This window comes from Homo sapiens, chromosome 14 (genome assembly GCF_000001405.40).
Source record: "Homo sapiens chromosome 14, GRCh38.p14 Primary Assembly".
Lineage (NCBI taxonomy): Eukaryota > Metazoa > Chordata > Mammalia > Primates > Hominidae > Homo > Homo sapiens.
In genome coordinates, this window is record NC_000014.9 from 55,238,190 (window position 1) to 55,257,304 (window position 19,115).

The window sequence follows — 19,115 nt, forward strand, 5'->3', positions numbered from 1 at the left end:
TGTGTGTGTGTGTGAGTGTGTTTCCCTTTTTTCTTCTAGTTTAGTGTTAATCGTTACTATAATTTTTTTTTCTTTTTTCCTCTTTTTTAGAGATGGGGTTTCCCTATGTTGCCCAGGTTGCTCTCGAACTGCTGGGCTCAAGCGATCCTCCTGGCTCAGCCCCGCGAGTAGCTGGAACCACAGACGTGCACCACCACACCCAACTAATTTTTTGTAGAGACGGGGTTTCGCCATGTTGCCCAGGCTGTTCTGGAATTCCTGGGCTCAAATGATCCACCCACTTTGGCCTCCCAAAGTGCTGGGATTATAGGCATGAGCCATATGAGTCATTGCGTCTGGCCACATTATAGTTTTTAGTCTTTTTTTTCGCATTATCGTTTTGATCTGCTTCTTGAATATGTCTTTATGGTGTACTTTCATTTTTTGCAGGAATGTTATTCTGCTCCGTATTCTCTTTTTTTCTTTTAGTAAATTTGGAATTTGACCTTAGTATTTTTCTATTGTTCGTTCTTAAGTAAAATTAGTTTTTCTGAACTTCTAATGGTGGCTAGGTTCAGATAGATTTTGCTAACATCACTGAGGTACTTCTTCGCTTTTGTGTAAAGTTTTAAATATATAACTGTCTGCAGTTTTGAGATTTCCTGGCTCTGCTCTCCTTATTTACTTTTTATCTGGATCTCCTTTTTTTTTTGAGATGGAGTCTCACTCTTGTTGCCCAGGCTGGAGTGCACTGGCGCGATCTCGGCTCACTGCAACCTCCGGGCCTCCTGGGTTCAAGTGATTCTTCTGCCTCAGCCTCCCGAGTAGCTGGGATTACAGGCATGCGCCACCATGCCTGGCTAATTTTGTATTTTTAGTAGAGACGGGGTTTCTCCATGTTTATCAGGCTGGTCTCGAACTCCCCACCTCAGGTGATCCACCCGCCTCGGCCTCCCAAAATCCTGGGATTACAGGTGTGAGCCACCATGCCCGGCCTGGATCTCCTTTTTATGTGTTGTCCCTATCTTGATCAATTTTGATCCCACACCCAGCAGTTTCTCTCAGAGCTGTGTCCTGGAAGTGAGATTTGGACATTCAGTATTGTAAATTCAGAGGGGTTAGAATGTCCCCACCCCTTTAGGTCTTACTGAGTTTCCTTGTGCTCTTCTGCAATTAAAATGGGCAAAACCCCTACCAGTTTCAGTTGCCACTCATGGATTGACCCATTGTGCTTTCCAGTGAATGCTGTTGCTCTTTGGATTCTCCTGTTCTCACTCTATCAAATGTCTCATGGGCTCCCTTTCCTGTCTCTTACACACACTCCAACATCATGCAGGTCTTGTGGTTGACGATGGTGTGTCCCCATATGCTTCTATTCTGTGGTTTGTGGGGATGCCTTGCCATCTTCTTTAGCTGTAAATGTTATCCTTGAGTTTTAATTTTGTTGTCTAGTTTCTCTGTTCATATGCAGGGGGTTTGAGAAGATCCAAAACCATGCTCTCACTGTCATGTTTCTAGAAGCCCTATAACTTTCAGGGAACTGAAATTTAATATATTTTATATGATACATTATGCTTTTAAAAAATAATTCTAAAATAATTTCAATCTTACAGCAAATTGCAGGAATAATTCAGAGACTTCTCTTTATCCTTTACTTAGATTCCCTAATCAATTAATATTTTACCATATTATCTTTTTCTCTCTCATTTTGTATATAAAACATATAAAAGTCCAGTAAAATCATTATAATCAATAAATTAAAATTAATACAATACTAACATCCAATCTGCAGACTAGATTCAAATTTCACTGATTGTCTCCATAATGTGCTTTATAATCACCCTTTCCTTTCTGACCCAGGAACCAATAGAAGATCATGTGTTGAATTTAATTGTTATGTCTTCTTAACCTCCTTCAACTTGGAGATTCCTCAGTTTTTCCATGTCTTTCATGTTGACCGTTTAAAAGAGAACAGGCAATTAATTTGTAGACTGTCCCTACGCTTGAGTTTGCCTTAAGTTTCTCATGGTTAGATTCAGGTTATTTGTTGGTAGTGGGTTTTTATGGAGGCGTACCACAGAAGTGATGCTATGTTCTTCTCAGTGCAGCATCAGAAGGCAACAACGTAATTTGTTCTATTTCTATCAGGGTTGACTTTTATCACTTGGTTAAGATGGTGTCTGCTGAATTTCTTCACTGTAAAATTAATTAATAAGTATTTTGTACTTACTAGGTTAAAAGTTATTAATAGGTATTTTGTGGAGAGCTACTTTTTTTTTTTCAGTTCAAACTCATTTCCCTTTTATTAAAGTCCAGGTTACCATTACATGGGTTGGTACTCAATAAAGGAAAACTTGTTCAAATAAGGTATATATTATCATCAGTATTTCCAGGTAACTGTTTACACACAAGTAGCAATATCAATAAATCCTTGCAAAGCCCATCCATGGGGTTTACACCTTGTCAAGGCCCAGATCCTCCGGAGTGGAGATTCCCAGTTCATTTAAAGTTGGTCTGAGTTCCTGTATGACATAGGGGTAGATTTCCTTATGAGGTCCTGCTTTGTCCTTAACAGCCTCTAGGATGCCAACTGCACTAGCAAAATCGTTTAACCGTCTGCATGCCCGCAAAGCAGCATCAACAATTTTGGGCTCTGGAACCGGATCATAGCTAACAAGTGTGTTCATCCCTTTACGCAATTGCCAGGCATCTATATCTGGCTTGTTGAAGTATGTTACTCAGAGAGCATCAAACTCCTCATCTGTCTCGTGACCCATGGGAATAGCAGTGAACTGACTGGATAGCCGCGGCGGGGCCGGGGGTTGGGGCGGAATGCAGGAGGCCTCGAGGGCCGGCCCGGGCGGTTGCAGTCACCGCGCAGCGGTGGAGAGCGGCCCCAGCACGACGGCGATGGTGGCGCGCAAGCTGAGGATGGAGAGAAACCGGTGTGAGCTCGCTCGCGGGTTGCTCCGCAGCTGGCGGGGGCCGGCGAGAGCTACTTTTATGTTATATGAATATCGTGTTCTTCATCACATTCCCCAGCACCCCCGCCACTGGCTTTAGCATCCATTATTGGTTCTTACCTAAATCAATTATTACTATAATGGTTGACAAACGATGCTATTCTAATTACATTATTATTTCTACATTTATTAGTTGGCATTCTATTATAAGGTAAAGTTTTCCTTGGCCTGCCTCAGTGGCTTATGCCCGTAATTCCAGCACTTTGGGAGGCAAAGGCAGGTGCGCTTGAGGCCAGGAGTTCAAAACTAGCCTGGTCAACATAGTGAGACCTCATCTCTACAAAAGAAAACAAATCAAAAGATTAACTGGGAATGGTGGTGCATACCCGTAGTCTTACCTACAGGGGAGGGTGAGGCAGGAGAATCACTTGAGCCCAGGAGTTCGAGGCTGCAGTGAGCCATACTTGTGCCACTGCACTCCAGCCTGGGTGACAGAGTGAGACTGTCTCTTAAAGAAAAAAAAAAACAAAACAAAACCTTTCCCTTCTCCCTTATCTGTTTTATTCAATGGACGATAATCTGTTGCTATCATTTATTTTGATATTCAAATTTTTCCAGATTTAGCTAATGAGAGCCCTTCAAACTAGGACTTCTCCTTCTAACATGTCCTCATCATTCTTTCATTGCTTTCCTACTTTCGTGACAAACAAGATGTTCCAGGAACATTTTGTACTGTCCTTGTTCCAGTCCTAAAATCAACCATTTCTTCGAGGACTTCTGGATTCTGTTAGTGGAGAATGGTATTCAGAAGCCTCCATCTGGGTGCTGGGTGTGATCATTGCTACTAGGAGATCACTGCTTCCAGGTTTAGTTTTCACCCTTTCCGAACTGTTAATTCCCTTCTGTGACAGAGAAAAACCTGGCTCTGGCTCTCATCTCAATACACTCACTTAATTAATCTCCCTGTATGTAACCAATCTCCTGACCTTATGGCTGCCTTGCAGACCAAGACATCACCTTACATGGAGGCCATTGTGTAGTAGAAATGAGACTAGCCCCTTTGCTTTTCCCACTATAACTTGTAAATGCACTACACAAAGCCAATGAGACCCTTTTCTAAACTAATTCCTATTCTTTATGCAAAAGAGATTATGTATGAAATTTGGGACTCCATTGATTTAATTTATCATAATTTTGTGAAATTTATTTTGCTATAGAATGAATGTATATTATAATATTGGAATTAAAATTTCTTTTTAATCTGAAGTTTCTGGCTTTGTGTTTCATGAGTTTGTTATGATACAGTGAGAATATTTGCTCAACTGCTTTTTGGATATACAATTTAACAAATGAGGCCTGACCAGCAGGAAAAAAATTAGTGAGAATTTAAAAAAATTAACTACAAGTTCAGTTATGTTTTTAAAAAGTGATTTTAAAAGATAACAAAAGTCTCATATCACTTTTAACTCAATCAGTGTTTTCTAAAATATTTACTACATCATTGTAAGCTTTGTTATTACTAATAATAACTTTGATCTGTATGAGCATTATTGTTTACAAAGAACCTAATATTATCTCAATCTTTTCCCAGCTTTGTGGAGTAGATGATGTTATCTCCATTTTACACACAGATCGTAGGCTTATTGAAGCTATGCAACTTGTTAAAGATTGCCCAACTGTTAGGTGGCAGAAACGGTATATAAACAGAGTTATTTTAACTTACCATTTATTCTTCCCTTTTCATTGTTTCATTCCTCTGAATTGGGATTTTTTCTCATCTCGCCTGTCCTGTTTGACAGATTATAAATGAATAACTACTCTCCTATGTAATTTACTAATTTTGTCACCTAGGTTTAGATCAATCAATTCTAATAGGTTCATTTATTCAAGTTGCTGAAAGTGCCTATTGTCCCCCAGTATTTATATCCCCTGCATTGCACAGTAATAGAATGTTTAGCCAGACAAATGGCCACCTCAGAAAAAAGTTCATTTCCGGCCGAGAGCAGTGGCTCACACCTGTAATCCCAGCACTTTGGGAGGCTGAGGCAGGTGAATCACTTGAGGCCAGGAGTTCAAGAAAAGCCTGGCCAACATGGTGAAACCCTGTCTCTACTAAAAATACAAAAATTAGCCAGGTGGTAGTGGTGCATACCTGTAATCCCAGCTATTTGGGAGGCTGAGGCAGGAGAATCACTTGAACCTAGGAGGCAGAGGTTGCAGTGAGCTGAAATTGCGCCACTGTACCCCAGCCTGGGCGAGAGAATGAGACTCTGTCTCAAAAAAAGAAAAAAAAGAAAAAAAGAGAAAAGTTCATTTCCTAGCCTACTTGTCAGGTGGGTATGGCCATGTGATAAAGGGTAGTGATGCTGACAGCTCCTGGGAACCTTCCTTCAAATGTGCCCCCTGTACTCCTTTTTTGTCACTTCCTCCATCCTGCTTCCTGGAGCAGAAATCCTGCCTTGCATAATGAGAATTAGGCTCTACCCAAGGAATGTCATCAGGGTGGTGAGCTAGAAGGAGGCTCCTGGGTCCAAATAACTTTATGGGGCAGGGCTACCATATCTATCCGGACTGCAAAATTCCAGACTTCAGAAAACTCAAAAGCCACTGGATGTTTTTAAGAGATGGCATGTCGCTTTGTCACCCAGGCTGGAGAGCAGTGACTATTCACAGGCACAATCTTAGTGCTTTGCAGCCTCCACCTCCCAAGAGATCTCACCTAATCCTCTGGAGTAGCTGGAACCACAGGTGCAGGCCACCATGCCCAGCTAAGCCACTGATATTTTGACTTGGCCAATCACAACCTAATGTATACATTCAGTATCTATCTGCAGATCCTACCTAACCAGTCTCAAAGTTGAGTGAGACTGGCCATTCACCCCACATCCAGAGGCAGTTCCTGATTGCTTTAGTGCCCTTCAGGGTGATTTCAATGTACGGGGTAGGGCCGTAGTAGTCGGTTCAGTAATGAGCGCCTAAGCCAGTCAGCTTATAGCCTTCCCCTAGCCCCAGTGGCTGGTTCCCTAAGATACAAATCATGGTAGGTTTGGAAGAGGCGCCCTCTCTTAGGGAAGGATGTAGCCCAGCTATAAACACGGAAGCATGTAGCTTTAGAGAAATCAGGCTGAGGATGTGGCTGGCTGGTGGAGGAAGGTAGAAATAAAAGAATTGTGGGTGTTTTCCTTTAGATTCGATCAACCCTAAAACCTGCCTAACTTGTGGTCTTTTCAGAGAATGAGCCAACAATCATCCAGTTATATTGTTTAAGCCAATTTCAATTGAGTTTTCTGTTCATTGTAACCAAGGTCGTATAACTGATATACCTTCCAGTGTCTTCAGGATTACATCAATGTTTAATAATGTAGATTGACATTTTTAGGTAGTATTTTTAAATTTTTTTGACCAGTTTGAACACAACTGTAGTGGATTCCTATTTTATTCAGTATGTGATCACCTTTTGCTATCTTTTTTTTGTGTGTGCGTGTGTGAGTGGGGTCTCACTCTGTCATCCAGGCTGGAGTGCGGTGGTATAATCACGGCTCACTGCAGCCTCAACCTCCTAGACTCAAGGGCCCATCTCAGCCACCCAAGTAGCTGGGACTACAGGCATGTGCCACCATGTCTGGCTAATTTTTTAAATAATTTTTTGTAGAGATGGGGGTCTCACTGTGTCGTCCAGGCTGGTCTTGAACTTCTGGGCTCAAGTGATCCTCCCGCCTTGGCCTCCCAAAGTGCTGGGATTGCAGGTGTGAGCCACCACACCCAGTCTTATTTATTTTCATGTTCAAATTGTCCCAATTTAACACAACTTTTTCACACAGTTTGTCCCATTGCTTTATTCTCTGATTTTATTTTTTAAATCTTGAAGGATGGTTTTGTAAAGGCTGCGATGGCTGTGTTAAAATTCAAATGTGAAGCTTACCCTTTCTGAAAAATCACTCCTTGGTTTTCTTATGCTGTCTCATTTCTCTACTGTCTCATTTCTCTACCTTTTTCTTTGCCCATTTTTCAAATTGTTTCTGTACTGACTCCCTTCACAAATCTGTTTTCTTCTCCATCTCCTGAAAGGTGGTAGTTTTTTGGTTTTGTTTTTTACATCTTATTTTTTAAATTCATTTTTTAAAAATCTTGTATGTTCTTCCAATGAAAAAATTATTTCTTTAATTGACAAATTAAAATTGTATATATTTATGGTGTACAGTATGATGTTTTGAAATATGTATACATTGTGGAATGGCTAAATTGGGCTAATTAATACATGCATTACCTCATACACATCATTCTCTTGTGGTAAGAACGCTGAAAATCTACTTTCTTAGCAATATTCAATTATGCAATTCAGTTTTGTTAATTATAGTCATTGTGCTCTACAGTAGATTCCCCAAACTTTTTTACCTTGCAGTTGAAAGTTTGTGTCCTCTGACCAACATCTCCCCATTTCCCTTCCCAGCTCTGGCAATCATCAGTCTACACTCTTGCTTTTCGGTATTCCAAATTTTTAGAATCCACATATGAATGTGATCATGTGGTATTTCTTTTTGTGCCTGGCGTATTTCACTTAATATAATGTCCTCCAGGTAAATCCATGCCGTTGCAAATGACGAAGCTTAGTTCTTGACCCACAGATTTAATGTGAAGTCTTTCTCAGAGGTGTCACTCACTCATAACTTCAAATAATCACCTTTGCAATTGTCTCCAATCCTTACTGTGTTTCAGGCCTCCATTTCCAACTCCACTAGGAGGCACTGTAGTGATCTAAAGGCAGTACACCTCAAACTGAAATCTTTCATCCAAAACTATTAATAGCTGTCTCTAAGTTTTTCTATTCTTACCTAAGCATGTTATTCTCTCAATCTTTCAATTTTAAAACTTTGAGGTCATTCTTATCTTCTACTTTTCCTTTTCTACCACATTTAGCCCATAAGCAAAGTGTAGTTTCTTCTATAAAGTTTTCAAGGACCACTACTAGGACATAGCCCTTCACAATCTCACATCTGAATAACTGTGTTTATTTTTTAACTTGTCATTTTATCTACCCTTACAACTCATTTTATATGTGAATTATGAAAAACCGCCCTGCTAAGAACCTTTAAAGACTTCTTAAATCTCTTATCCTAGCACTTAAGGCCCCCAAATTGGTTCTTTACTTAGATCTCCAAACCCATCTCCCCCTACTTGTTTACATCAACTGGACAAAGTGGTGTACCAATTTCTTCCCAAATGCTATATTTGCCCACCTTCTTTGCTCCCTCTTTGTGAAATGCCCTCTGTCCTCTTACATGTTTAATCTTATCTGTTTTTCAATTATTATTATATTTTGAGACAGGGTCTCATGTCTCACTCTGTCACCCAGGCTGGAGTGCAGTTACATGATCTCAGCTGACTGTAACCTCTGCTTCCCAGGCTCAAGCCATCTTTCCACCTCAGCCTCTTGAGTAGCTGGGACAACAGGACTGTGCCATGCTAATTTTCATGCCTGGCTAATTTTTGTGTTTTTTGTAGAAATGGAATTTCACCATGTTGCCCAGGCTGGTCTCAAACTCCTGAACTCAAGTGATCCACCCATCCCAGCCTCCCAAAGTGCTGGAATTACAGATGTGAGCCACCACACCCAGCCTAATTTTATCTCTTTTTCAAAGCTCAGCCCGAGTCAGTTTCTTTGTTTTTCCTTTGGCTTTTTGTTTTCTTTTCTGAGATAGAGTCTCACTGCCATGCCCAGGCTGGAGTGCAATGGTGCGATCTGGCTCACTGCAACCTCTGCTTCCCGGTTCAAGCGATTCTCCTGCCTCAGCCTCCCAAATAGCTGGGATTACAGGTGCATGCCACCACGTCCAGTCAATTTTTGTATTTTTAGTAGAGGCAGGGTTTCACCACATTGGCAAGGCTGATCTCGAACTCCTGACCTTGTGATCTGCCCGCCTCAGCCTCCCAAAGTGCTGGGATTATAGGCATGAGCCACCGCACCCAGCCTCAAAGAAATAGTTCCTAAGGTGGTAAGATGGGGGTCCGCTCTCCACTTTTTCCCTTTCTCTTCCTAGAGTCAACCTAATCAAAGACACCCAGCTGTCTCGCACACCTTCCAGCAAATGCAGGAAATACCTACAGGATGTTTAATCTTACCTGTTAAAACCATCTGATTATTTTATAGACACCACAATCTGAGGGCAGACCACCAAGAAGGCCTCTTTTTTATCCTTCTACCTTGAGCTTCCAGTGTTGGAAACCCCAACCCCATCTGGAAAAACCAGACCAGGTCCAAAGACTGACAGTCAGCACCAGGAGTAGTGGGTCCCTGGAGTCAAGAGAAAGAGAGATTAAAGAGAGAGAGAGAGGAGGGAGGGGGAGAGAGAGAGAGAGAGGGAGATTACAGGGGAGGAGGCTTCTCTGCGAAGGGGATGGGAGAAGGAGAGACTGAGACCTGGCCTCAGTGAGAGAATCTGGGGGAGTAGAAACTACTAGAAGAAACAGGAGTTTCCTGTATCTCCAGTGCTAGAAGTAAAAGGCTGTTTTGTACATTCTTTCAGACTGTGTGAACTTGCCCTAATTGGTAAGGTCAGGCAGTAAGACTACTTGGGGACAAGTACAGAACTATTCCCTCCTTTTTGGAATATGAATACAATGTATCAGTCAGGGTGCTGGCTAGAAATAGATGACACACTTAATGGGTTTCACTGAAGAGTTTAATAGAGGGACTCTTTTCAGAGGGGTGGACAGGATTGAGAGACCCATCAAAGGCTAGTAAAGTACCCAGGGATTAATGACAGCTAAAATCTATTACCACTGCAGGCCTGAAGAGACAAGGGAAAGGCACGGTGTCACCAGAGACTGGGCAGCTACAGCTGTGGAAAAGAGACAACCTGGCAGTACCTGTGGCCATAGAGGGTGGTAGGAAACCAATTCCTCTTTCCCTCTTCCCATTACCAGGAGCAGTGCTTCTCTTTGGCCATTCCCAATAAGAAGCCACAGAATAAGGGAGGACAGGGCATGCAGACCTTGGAAATCATCCTTGTAAGATACAGAGGAGGGCAGAGGAAAGGCAGATTATGGATCTGTGGTGAGAGGATAAACCCAGCATATGTAGTGCACTACAGTTATCACAGTGATTGTTCTCTACTCTGAATCCCATAGCACGTATTGCTAAAACCCTCATTTCAATTTTCAACGACCATCTCCTGAGTGCTTCCCAAAAGTACTAGATGCTTGGGCATGATACACAAATTAACCACACACGGCCCCTTTAGGAGCTCAAATCTGGTGGGCAACCTTTGGACATAGAATTTGCTGCTTTATATTGTGTTTTATCTTTTCTAGTGGGTGCGGTGGGTTGGATCTTTATAGATTACAAGAGCAGAGAAGTTTTCAAGTCTGATGTGATGGGAGTTCTACATCAGGCTCCACATCAAATTAGAATCTTAGTCCAGATACTGTGGCAAATGTAGTGACACCATAGCAGGTTTCGTAACTATCGCATGTAACTCAGATGATGGTGTCGCTCTGCTTCCTACTTTTGTCTGACTCCCATTCTTGTAACCTGACTTTCTCTGCCTGCTCACTGCTGACCCTCTTTGTATGTCTCACTTTCAGATTCCCTGAAAGAGGATTAAATTGGGCCAGTTTATCCTTCTCTGTTCCTATTGGGCAGAGTTCTGCTACAAGCCATCTTAAATGGCAATGCTTTGCTTTATGTCCAGTCTATAGATGAGCAGCTTTGTCCTGAGTAGCCAGATCACATGAGACAAGTACGGCAACTGTCATGAACATCTGTCATTCGCAGCTGCCCGAAATCTTCCAAATAGTCTATCTTCGTTATCATAGTTCCTCAGTAGAAATCCTGCCTTCTCAATGTAGAACCCCAAACTCCCTTTCCAAGATTTCCTTCTTGTTAGGGTGCATACGAGTGATGTAGATTCCACTACCTAGACTCAAGCATTTGTTTCAAGATGGAGTTACATGGGGAAGGAGGGAGAGTACAGGGCCTGCATTTTGCAGGTGCAGATCCTGGCAAAGATGGTGTGGTTCTGGAGCCGGTGAAGTGAACCACAGAAACCAAAGAAGCAATGGACATTCACATCTGCACTTACTCTATATCCCAGTTCCAGATAACTTTTTCTTTCTCTGAGGATGAGGACTTCATGGAGACAAAAGGCCATCAAAATAGTTGCTGACATCCTGCAGCCAGAGAAAATGTTTCAAAAATGCAGATTGGATCATTACCCTCCAAAGACTTTCTTGTGCCTCTGCTATAGCCAAGGGAAGTCAGGAGTGAGCTCTCCTGTTGTTCTAGGAAGAGGATGAGAGACAGGTAAGGCAGGTCCCAGTGCATAGCTAGGGCCAGCATACATCACTGACTCCCAGCTGACCGAGAGATACATTGAGCTTGCCCAGCCCAGCCCACATCAGCTGACCCCCTGCTGACCCCAAAACACATGAGCAAGTCCAGCTGAGATTAGAAGAGCTGCCCAGCTTAGCCCAGATCAGCGGACCTCCGGGTAACCCTGGGACACATGAGCAAAGCCAGCTGAGGTCAGCACACTTACTCATCCCTACCCAGTTAAAATCAACCAATCCCCAGCTGAGCCACAGTTTCATTGTTAACAAGATAGAGCTACTCATTGAACTGGACCAGTCGTGGCTCCAGGACTGGAGACTGGCACTTTTCAGGTGCCACATTGAAAAGATGCTCAGGTGGCCCAATACTCTTGCCTCTGTGAGAGAGAGGAGATCCCTCCAGCACTCAATACCCCCTCAGATTATTATTTTGAACAGCAGCAACCTGAAGGGCTTCTGTCATCAAACATTTCACCCCACATGCAGGAAACATGTGAGAATTATTAATTATTTCCATGATCACAGTTGGACTCCACATTCTAGAAATGTGAAGACTTTGAAAGTACCACTTGCTTTGTCCTTAGGTTTTTTTTGTTTTGTTTTGTTTTGTTTTTTTGAGGTAGAGTCTCACTCTGTTGCCCAGGTTGGAGTGCGGTTGTGAGATCTTGGCTCATTGCAACCTCTGCCTCCCGGGTTCAAGCAATTCTCCTGCCTCAGCCTCTTGAGTAGCTGGGATTACAGGCATGCGCCACCATGCCCGGCTAATTTTTTTTTTTTTTTGAATTTTTAGTAGAGACAGGGTTTCACCATATTGGCCAGGCTGGTCTCGAACTCCTGACCTTGTTTTCTGCCCTCCTCAGCCTCCCAAAATGCTGGGATTATAGGTATGAGCCACCGCGCCCTGCCTTATCCTTAGCTTTTTAAAGTTAAAAGTAGTGAAGTAAGTTGAAACCATTTGTATGACTCCTCCAGTAAATTGCCCCATTCACATTCAAAGGCTAGACAAAAATCAAGGAGGGAGCTGAGAATGGGGAGTTTTCTTTGACCTTTGTGGCAGAATAAAGCCCTCATGGCCTCGGAATGAAATATGTACTCAGAAGAGGAAGAGCTTTTGGCCAGCGTTTTATGGGCTTCCCTCCCCTGCTTCCACTGAGGTCTGTGCCTGTTGCCAGCTTCTGGTTTGGTTCTAGGTGCAATGCTCACTGGTGCTCTCTGCATCTGATGTGGCTGGCAGTGTCCTGGCAACCTGAGGGGTTCAGAGTGATGGTGATGATGCTGTGTCACACCTGTCCTGGGGACACTGTGCCAGGTGGTGGAGGCATAACCAGGTACCTCATCCCAGGCCCAGGTCCTCATGGATTGCTGTGGAAAATGGTGGTATTCCTAGTCATATTTCTAATTATTAGAAGTCTACTTTATGCAAGTAGAGACAAATAACTGGCCACTTTTGCCCTTCTGGAGAAAGACATTAAATATTTTACAATCTTAACCTCATTCAGAAGAATTTTAAAAAGGCCACTATGGCTGGGTGCAGTGGCTCACACCTGTAATCGCAGCACATTGGGAGGCTGAGGTGGGCGGATCACGTGAGGTGAGGAGTTCGAGGCCAGCCTGGCCAGCATGGTGAAACCTCGTCTCTACTAAAAATACAAAAATTAGCCGGGCATGGTGGCGGGCACCTGTAATTTCACCTACTTGGGAGGCTGAGACAGAATTGCTTGAACCCGGGAGGCGGAGGTTGTACTGAGCCAAGATTGTGCCACTGCACTCCAGCCTGGGCGACAGAGACTGTCTCAAAAAAAAAAAAAAGGAAAGAAAAGGCTAAATACGTATGATTCCAAGTATATGACATTCTAGAAAATGCAAAATTATGGAGATGGTAAAAAGATGAGTGGTTACCAGGGATTGGAGGAAGAGGTGTGAATAGTCAGGACACAAAGAAAGGACTTTTAGGGCAGTGAGGCTATTCTGTACAATACTGCAACGGTGGATACATTCCATTAAACATTTTTCAAAACCCAAAGAATATATAACACCAAGAGTGAGACCTAATGTAAACTATGGACCTTGGGAGATAATGATGTATCAATGTAGGTTCATCAGTTGTAACAAATGTATCACCGTAGTGTGGGATGTTGATAGTGGTCGAGGTTGTGCATATGTGGGAACAGGGGTATATGGGAACTCTCTGTACTTTCTGCTTAATTTTGCTGCGAACCTAAAAACTGCACTAAAAAGAAAGATCTTTTTTTTTTTAACTTGAAACTTACACTAAAGTTGCAAGTGCAGCACAGAAATCTTTTTTTTTAGACTGAGTCTCACTCCGTCGCCCAGGCTGGAGTGCAGTGGTGCGATCTCAGCTAACTGCAACCTCCACCTCCTGGGTTCAAGCGATTTTCCTGCTTCAGCCTCCCGAGTAGCTGGGACTACAGGTGCCTGCTGCCATGCCCAGCTAATTTTTTTGTATTTTTAGTAGAGACAGGGTTTCACCGTGTTAGCCAGGATGGTCTTGAGCTTCTGACCTTGCGATCCACCCACCTCGGCCACCTAAAGTGCTGAGATTACAGGTGTGAGCCACTGCGCCGACCAGAAACCTTTTTTAAAAAAAAAATATTGGCTGGGCGCAGTGGCTTACGCCTGTAATCCCAGCACTTTGGGAGGCTGAGGCAGGCGGATCACTTGAGGTCAGGAGTTCAAGACCAGCCTGGCCAACACGGTGAAACCCCATCTCTACTAAAAATACAAAAATTAGCTGGATATGGAGGCACATGCCTGTAATCCCAGCTACTCGGGAGGCTGAGACAGGAGAATCGCTTGAGCCTGGGAGGCAGAAGTTTCAGTGAGCCGTGATTGCATCACCGCACTCCAGCCTGGGTGACAGGAGTGAGACTCTGTCTCAAAAACAAAACAAAACAAACAAAAAAACAAAAAACAAACAAAACAAATCTTAAACTGTTTGGGAGTAATCACTATTTGTGATGCCCTATCACCCACCCCCAAATATTTTCGGGGGTTTACGTAGAATACTCTCCTATTTAATCACAAAAAAATCAGGGAATTAACATTGGTAATTAGCGGTATCTAATCCTGAAATCTCATTAAATTTCATCAGTGGTCCCAGTAATAAGGCAAAATAAAGAATCCACTTCAAGAAGAAAAAAAAAAGGAATTGAGAGACCTTGAATAATTTTAACAGAAGTCACATTTGAGAACAAATGATCAAAAACAGAAAAACTGGAGGCCATTAATAAAGAGCTGGAAATTTTCAACTCTTTTCTTGGGCTTAAAGAGTTTGAGAAAAGGACCGATAGAAGAGAAATCTGAACATTTAAAACAAGTTGAGGTATGATTGACATTAAAAGAAAGATTCAGTCTTCAGAAGATGCATCAAAACACGTACAACTTCAAGTAGTTGCAACCAAAACAGCTTTCAAAATACATGACAAGAATGAAAACAAATTCAGAAGCACTAAAAGATGCTTTGGATGAAAATTCTGGTTTTCAAGAAAACATAAAGGGCTGGACGTGGTGGCGTCCGTTGTTAACAGTGTAATCCCATATTCCCAGCACTTTGGGAGGCTGAGGCGGGTGGATCACTTCAGTCCAGGAGTTTGAGACCAGCCTGGCCAGCATAGCTAAACCCCATCTCTACTAAAAAAAAAAAAAAAAAAATACAAAAAATTAACCAGGCCTGGTGGCACACGCCTGTAATCCCAGCTACTCAGGAAGCTAAGGCAGAAGAATGACTTGAACCCGGGAGGCAGAGGTTGCAGTGAGCCGAGATTGCACCACTGCACTCCAGCCTGGGTGACAGAGTGGGACTCTGTCTCAAAACAAAACAAAAAAAAGAAAACATAAAGTGAAAAGTGGAATGGGAGAGTAAATTACCTTATCTAACAGAAAAAAAAATTAGAAACTCTAAATTGCATGAGACAAGGCTTTTTGTTTGTTTGTGTTTGAGACACGGTCTTGCTCTGTTGCACAGGCTGGAGTGCAATGGTGCAATCTTGGCTTATTGTAGCCTTGACTTCCCCAGTTCAAGCAATCCTCCCACTTAAGCCTCCCAAGTAGCTGGGACTACAGCTGTGCACCCACACGCCCGGCTCATTTTTTAAATTTTTTGTAGAGACAGGGTCTCCCTATATTACCCAGGCTGGTCTACGAACTCCTGGGCTCAAGTGATCCTCCTGCCTCGGCCTCCCAAAGTGCTGGGATTACAGTCATGAGCCACTGCGCCCAGCCACAAGGGACAAGCACTAAATGATAAAAAGCAAGCCCCTGGGTGAACATGTGCTAAAAGTGGGAGATTAGGCTGCCGTTCTTGAAGAAGCAAGCCTAGATGGTGGGAACTTACAATTGGATATAATGAAGATAAACCAAAACGAGCTTGAATAAATGGATTGGTACTGATAAATTAATTGTTTAAAACCTCTTGGCCGGGTGCAGTGGCTCACGCCTGTAATCCCAGCACTTTGGGAAGCTGAGGCGGGTGGATCACGAGGTCAGGAGATCAAGACCATCCTGGCTAACACGGTGAAACCCTGTCTCTACTAAAAATACAAAAAATTAGCCTGGCGTAGTGGCGGGCACCTGTAGTCCCAGCTATTTGGGAGGCTGAGGCAGGAGAATGGCATGAACCCGGAAGGCGGAGCTTGCAGTGAGCCGAAATCGCACCACTGCACTCCAGCCTGGGCGACAGAGTGAGACTCTGTCTCAAAAAAAAAAAACAAAAAACAAAAAACAAAGCAAAAACAAAAAAACCAAAAACCTCTTGAAGAAAAAAGAAACCAAATGTACACTAACTGAAAGAAGGTAAATTAATTGGCACACTTAAAGATCATCTTAAAAGTCTCCAAATGAGTAGGTGTCATTGCAGGAAACAAACAAACAACAACAACAACAAAACAGGAAGGGAGAGGCCAAAGCTTTGGCAGAAACTTTAAGTTCTTTCAGAATTGCATCAAGGAAAAAAATGAATTTTCACTGAAAAAACAATTCAGAGAAAGTTTGCCCTGTAAATACAGAGCAGAATCTTTTGAAAGCAGATATGAAGAGCAGTCATGCATGTAAAGAGCTGAACACCTATAAAATAGAAATCAAATTCTTTCCGAAAAATCCAAAAGAAAAGCTGGCTATTATCAAAGCTAGCTTATTACCTATAAAAGAAAGGCTTATGATAATGAGCTGGGAGCTGTGTTGGTTGAGAGAAACCCTGATAATTTAAGAGGAGAAAATGCATACATTCATATGTCTGGAAAAGAATCCTTATATTCCAAATGGGATATTTGGCAGAGGCCCAAGAGGTTCACTAGGGAATCCTCTGGATGACCAGATCCCCAGGGAAAAAGGAACATTCAACTGTACTGTCATGGAGATCCAGGGCTCAGCATCTTGTATGAATCATATGCTGCCCTTGTTGGGTCAGGATCCCAGAGAAAGGCTCCCTTCATCAGGAGGCCAACTCCATCTCAACGTGAATCTTCTACAGGAGCAAGTGAGACCTTGTCTTGGTGTTCTTCACACTAACAGACACTTGGGATCTTCTTTTGGCTTACCTTCCTACATGACCCGGGAGCCGCTGGTTCCAGTTGATTCTTCTCTCATCCTCCTGTCAGGGTTGAGATGTTATAGAGGGGACAGAAGAGCACCAGGACGTACTATGTTGCCTTTCCATCCCTTGCTGTAACTTCATCATCAAAAGCTCCTGACTGTGGTGTGCTGGAGCTAGCACTCAGGTGCTAGTGAGAGCAGATTGTGCGCATCTCTTCCCAGCTTCACATCAGTAGCTTGAAACTGGCCATGATGGGAGTATTTACACCATGAAATAGGCAAATGTGATATAAATCAGGCTTTCCTGCACAGCCCACCCCCATCTCCAAGACCGGCACTTTGGCCGGCACTCCCTGTCCCTTTGGCAATAATTCTTCATTGTTCATCAAAATCACCCATGCCTGGGCTCCTCCTCCCACAGATTCTAATTCAGTTGCTCTGGGGCTGTCACTATGCATCCTACTTTTCCAAAGCTCCCTAGATGATTCTAAAGTGCAGCTAAGGTTGTGAACCACTGCCTGTAAATGCTTTCAACCAGCCTTTGATCTGTTTGTTGTAAAAGAGGCCTTTAGATGTTACCTTAACTTTCTTTAAGGAAAAACAAATCTACCTTGAGTTCTAAGTTGCCATCTACTCCCCTGAGGCAAGTAAAGACCAGCATGGGAAAAGGTAGAATGCCTTGCACCGAACCCAGGGTGTTCTCAGCTAGCAAAAGCCCTCTGAGTGTACTTTGGTGTTACTAGCTCTCCTTCTCATCAGGTATCTTATATTATCCCAGAATGATTTCTTTATGTTGGGTGGTGCTTTTGAAATAGGTCTCGGGCACTCCTTTAAAAAAAGTGATGCCTTTTCTTTTTTTTCACAAGACTTTTACACGTTTTAGGCAAAAGTAAAAGGTTTTAATAATTTAATAGTTTAGAGCCTGGTGAGGCTTCATTAGCCCTAACAATGTATTTGCAATTTATTTTGCATGAAGCATATGGATCAAGAATGTGGGCATTTGATGCAGTGTGACCACAGACTTTGCCGTATGTCCATAAAGACAGGCTGGGATCCTGTGCATTTCTCCTTATGTATTTCTGGGCTCCCTGGGCCCTCCACTGTGCTTGGTCATTGAATGGTACTGTTTTGTAACAGGTCAGCCATGTATCTCTTTGCTTTGTGTACGCATTCTGAGAGTGATATGGACAGGAGCCAGGGAAACAATGGGTAGAAGAGGGCAGTTCCCTGGCAAGGCCCCACCCCCAAGCCTGGAAACCCATGGCCCTAAATGAAAACAGCCATTCCTGTTTTCATGCCCAAATGTTGCCTTTTGGCCCACCACGCCCCCCATCCTGTACCCATATAAACCCCAAACCCCAGGCTCCATGGGCAGATGAACAGAAGAGCAGAGGAGCAAAAGAGTGATGTGGCGTGGAAGAAAAGGAGAGAAGAGAAGAAACATTTAAACATTGAGAGAAGTTCGGCTGGGGACGGTTGGATAGGTGATCGGCTGCGGGATGGCTGAACTCCATGGCAAGATCATCTTCCCACTCCATCCTCTTTCCAGCTCTCCATTTGTTCTGCTGAGAACCACTTCCATCTGGCAATAAAATCCCCTGCATTTACCATCCTTCAGTTTGTCCATGTGACCTGATTATTCCTGGATGCCAGACAAGAACCCGGGTACCAAGAAGGCACTGAGCTGGTTAACACTTAAGCTGTCTGCGGATGGCAGAGTTAAAAGAGCACTGTAACATGCCCTCTGGGGCTTCAGGAGTTGCAGGCACCCAGCCCTAGATCCTACCATGGGGCTGGAGTCCAAAAGCTCTCACCCCAGCTCCTGCACCTGCCTGTCTGCGTGCTCCCCCTCCCATAAGGAGACACACCCCTGTCGCACGTCCAGTGAGGGGGGTCAGGGAACTCCCCTTTCAAGAGTATGGAACCAATTAGAAAAGCAACTGACAGAAGGACGATTTAGGGATGAGAGGAGAACTTTGATATCCGTCTCATTGCCGTTTCTGTGTATGCTTTTTACAGCATTACAGAAGCATTTGCTTGCCCCTAGACTTCAAATTCCACGTGTCTTATAAATGCCTAGGATCTGTTATTGTCTTCTCAGTGGAAAAATAGAGCAGTCATGCCCATAAATAGAGGTAGAAATCACAGCTTCGCTTTTTTCACTTAAAAAGAATTATGTTTTATATAGTAAGGCTTTTAAATGTTTAGCTAATAGTGTCTATGTTTCACAAATGATTTGGGATAAGAGCAGAAAATAAGAATGAATCTAAGGTTTTTTTTTGTTTCATGTCAATA

The 19,115-nt window shown here is 43.1% G+C and overlaps 1 pseudogene; it reads right to left on the reverse strand.

Annotated features, from left to right (window-relative positions):
* On the reverse strand, positions 2,258-2,945 carry COX5AP1 (cytochrome c oxidase subunit 5A pseudogene 1; annotated as a pseudogene).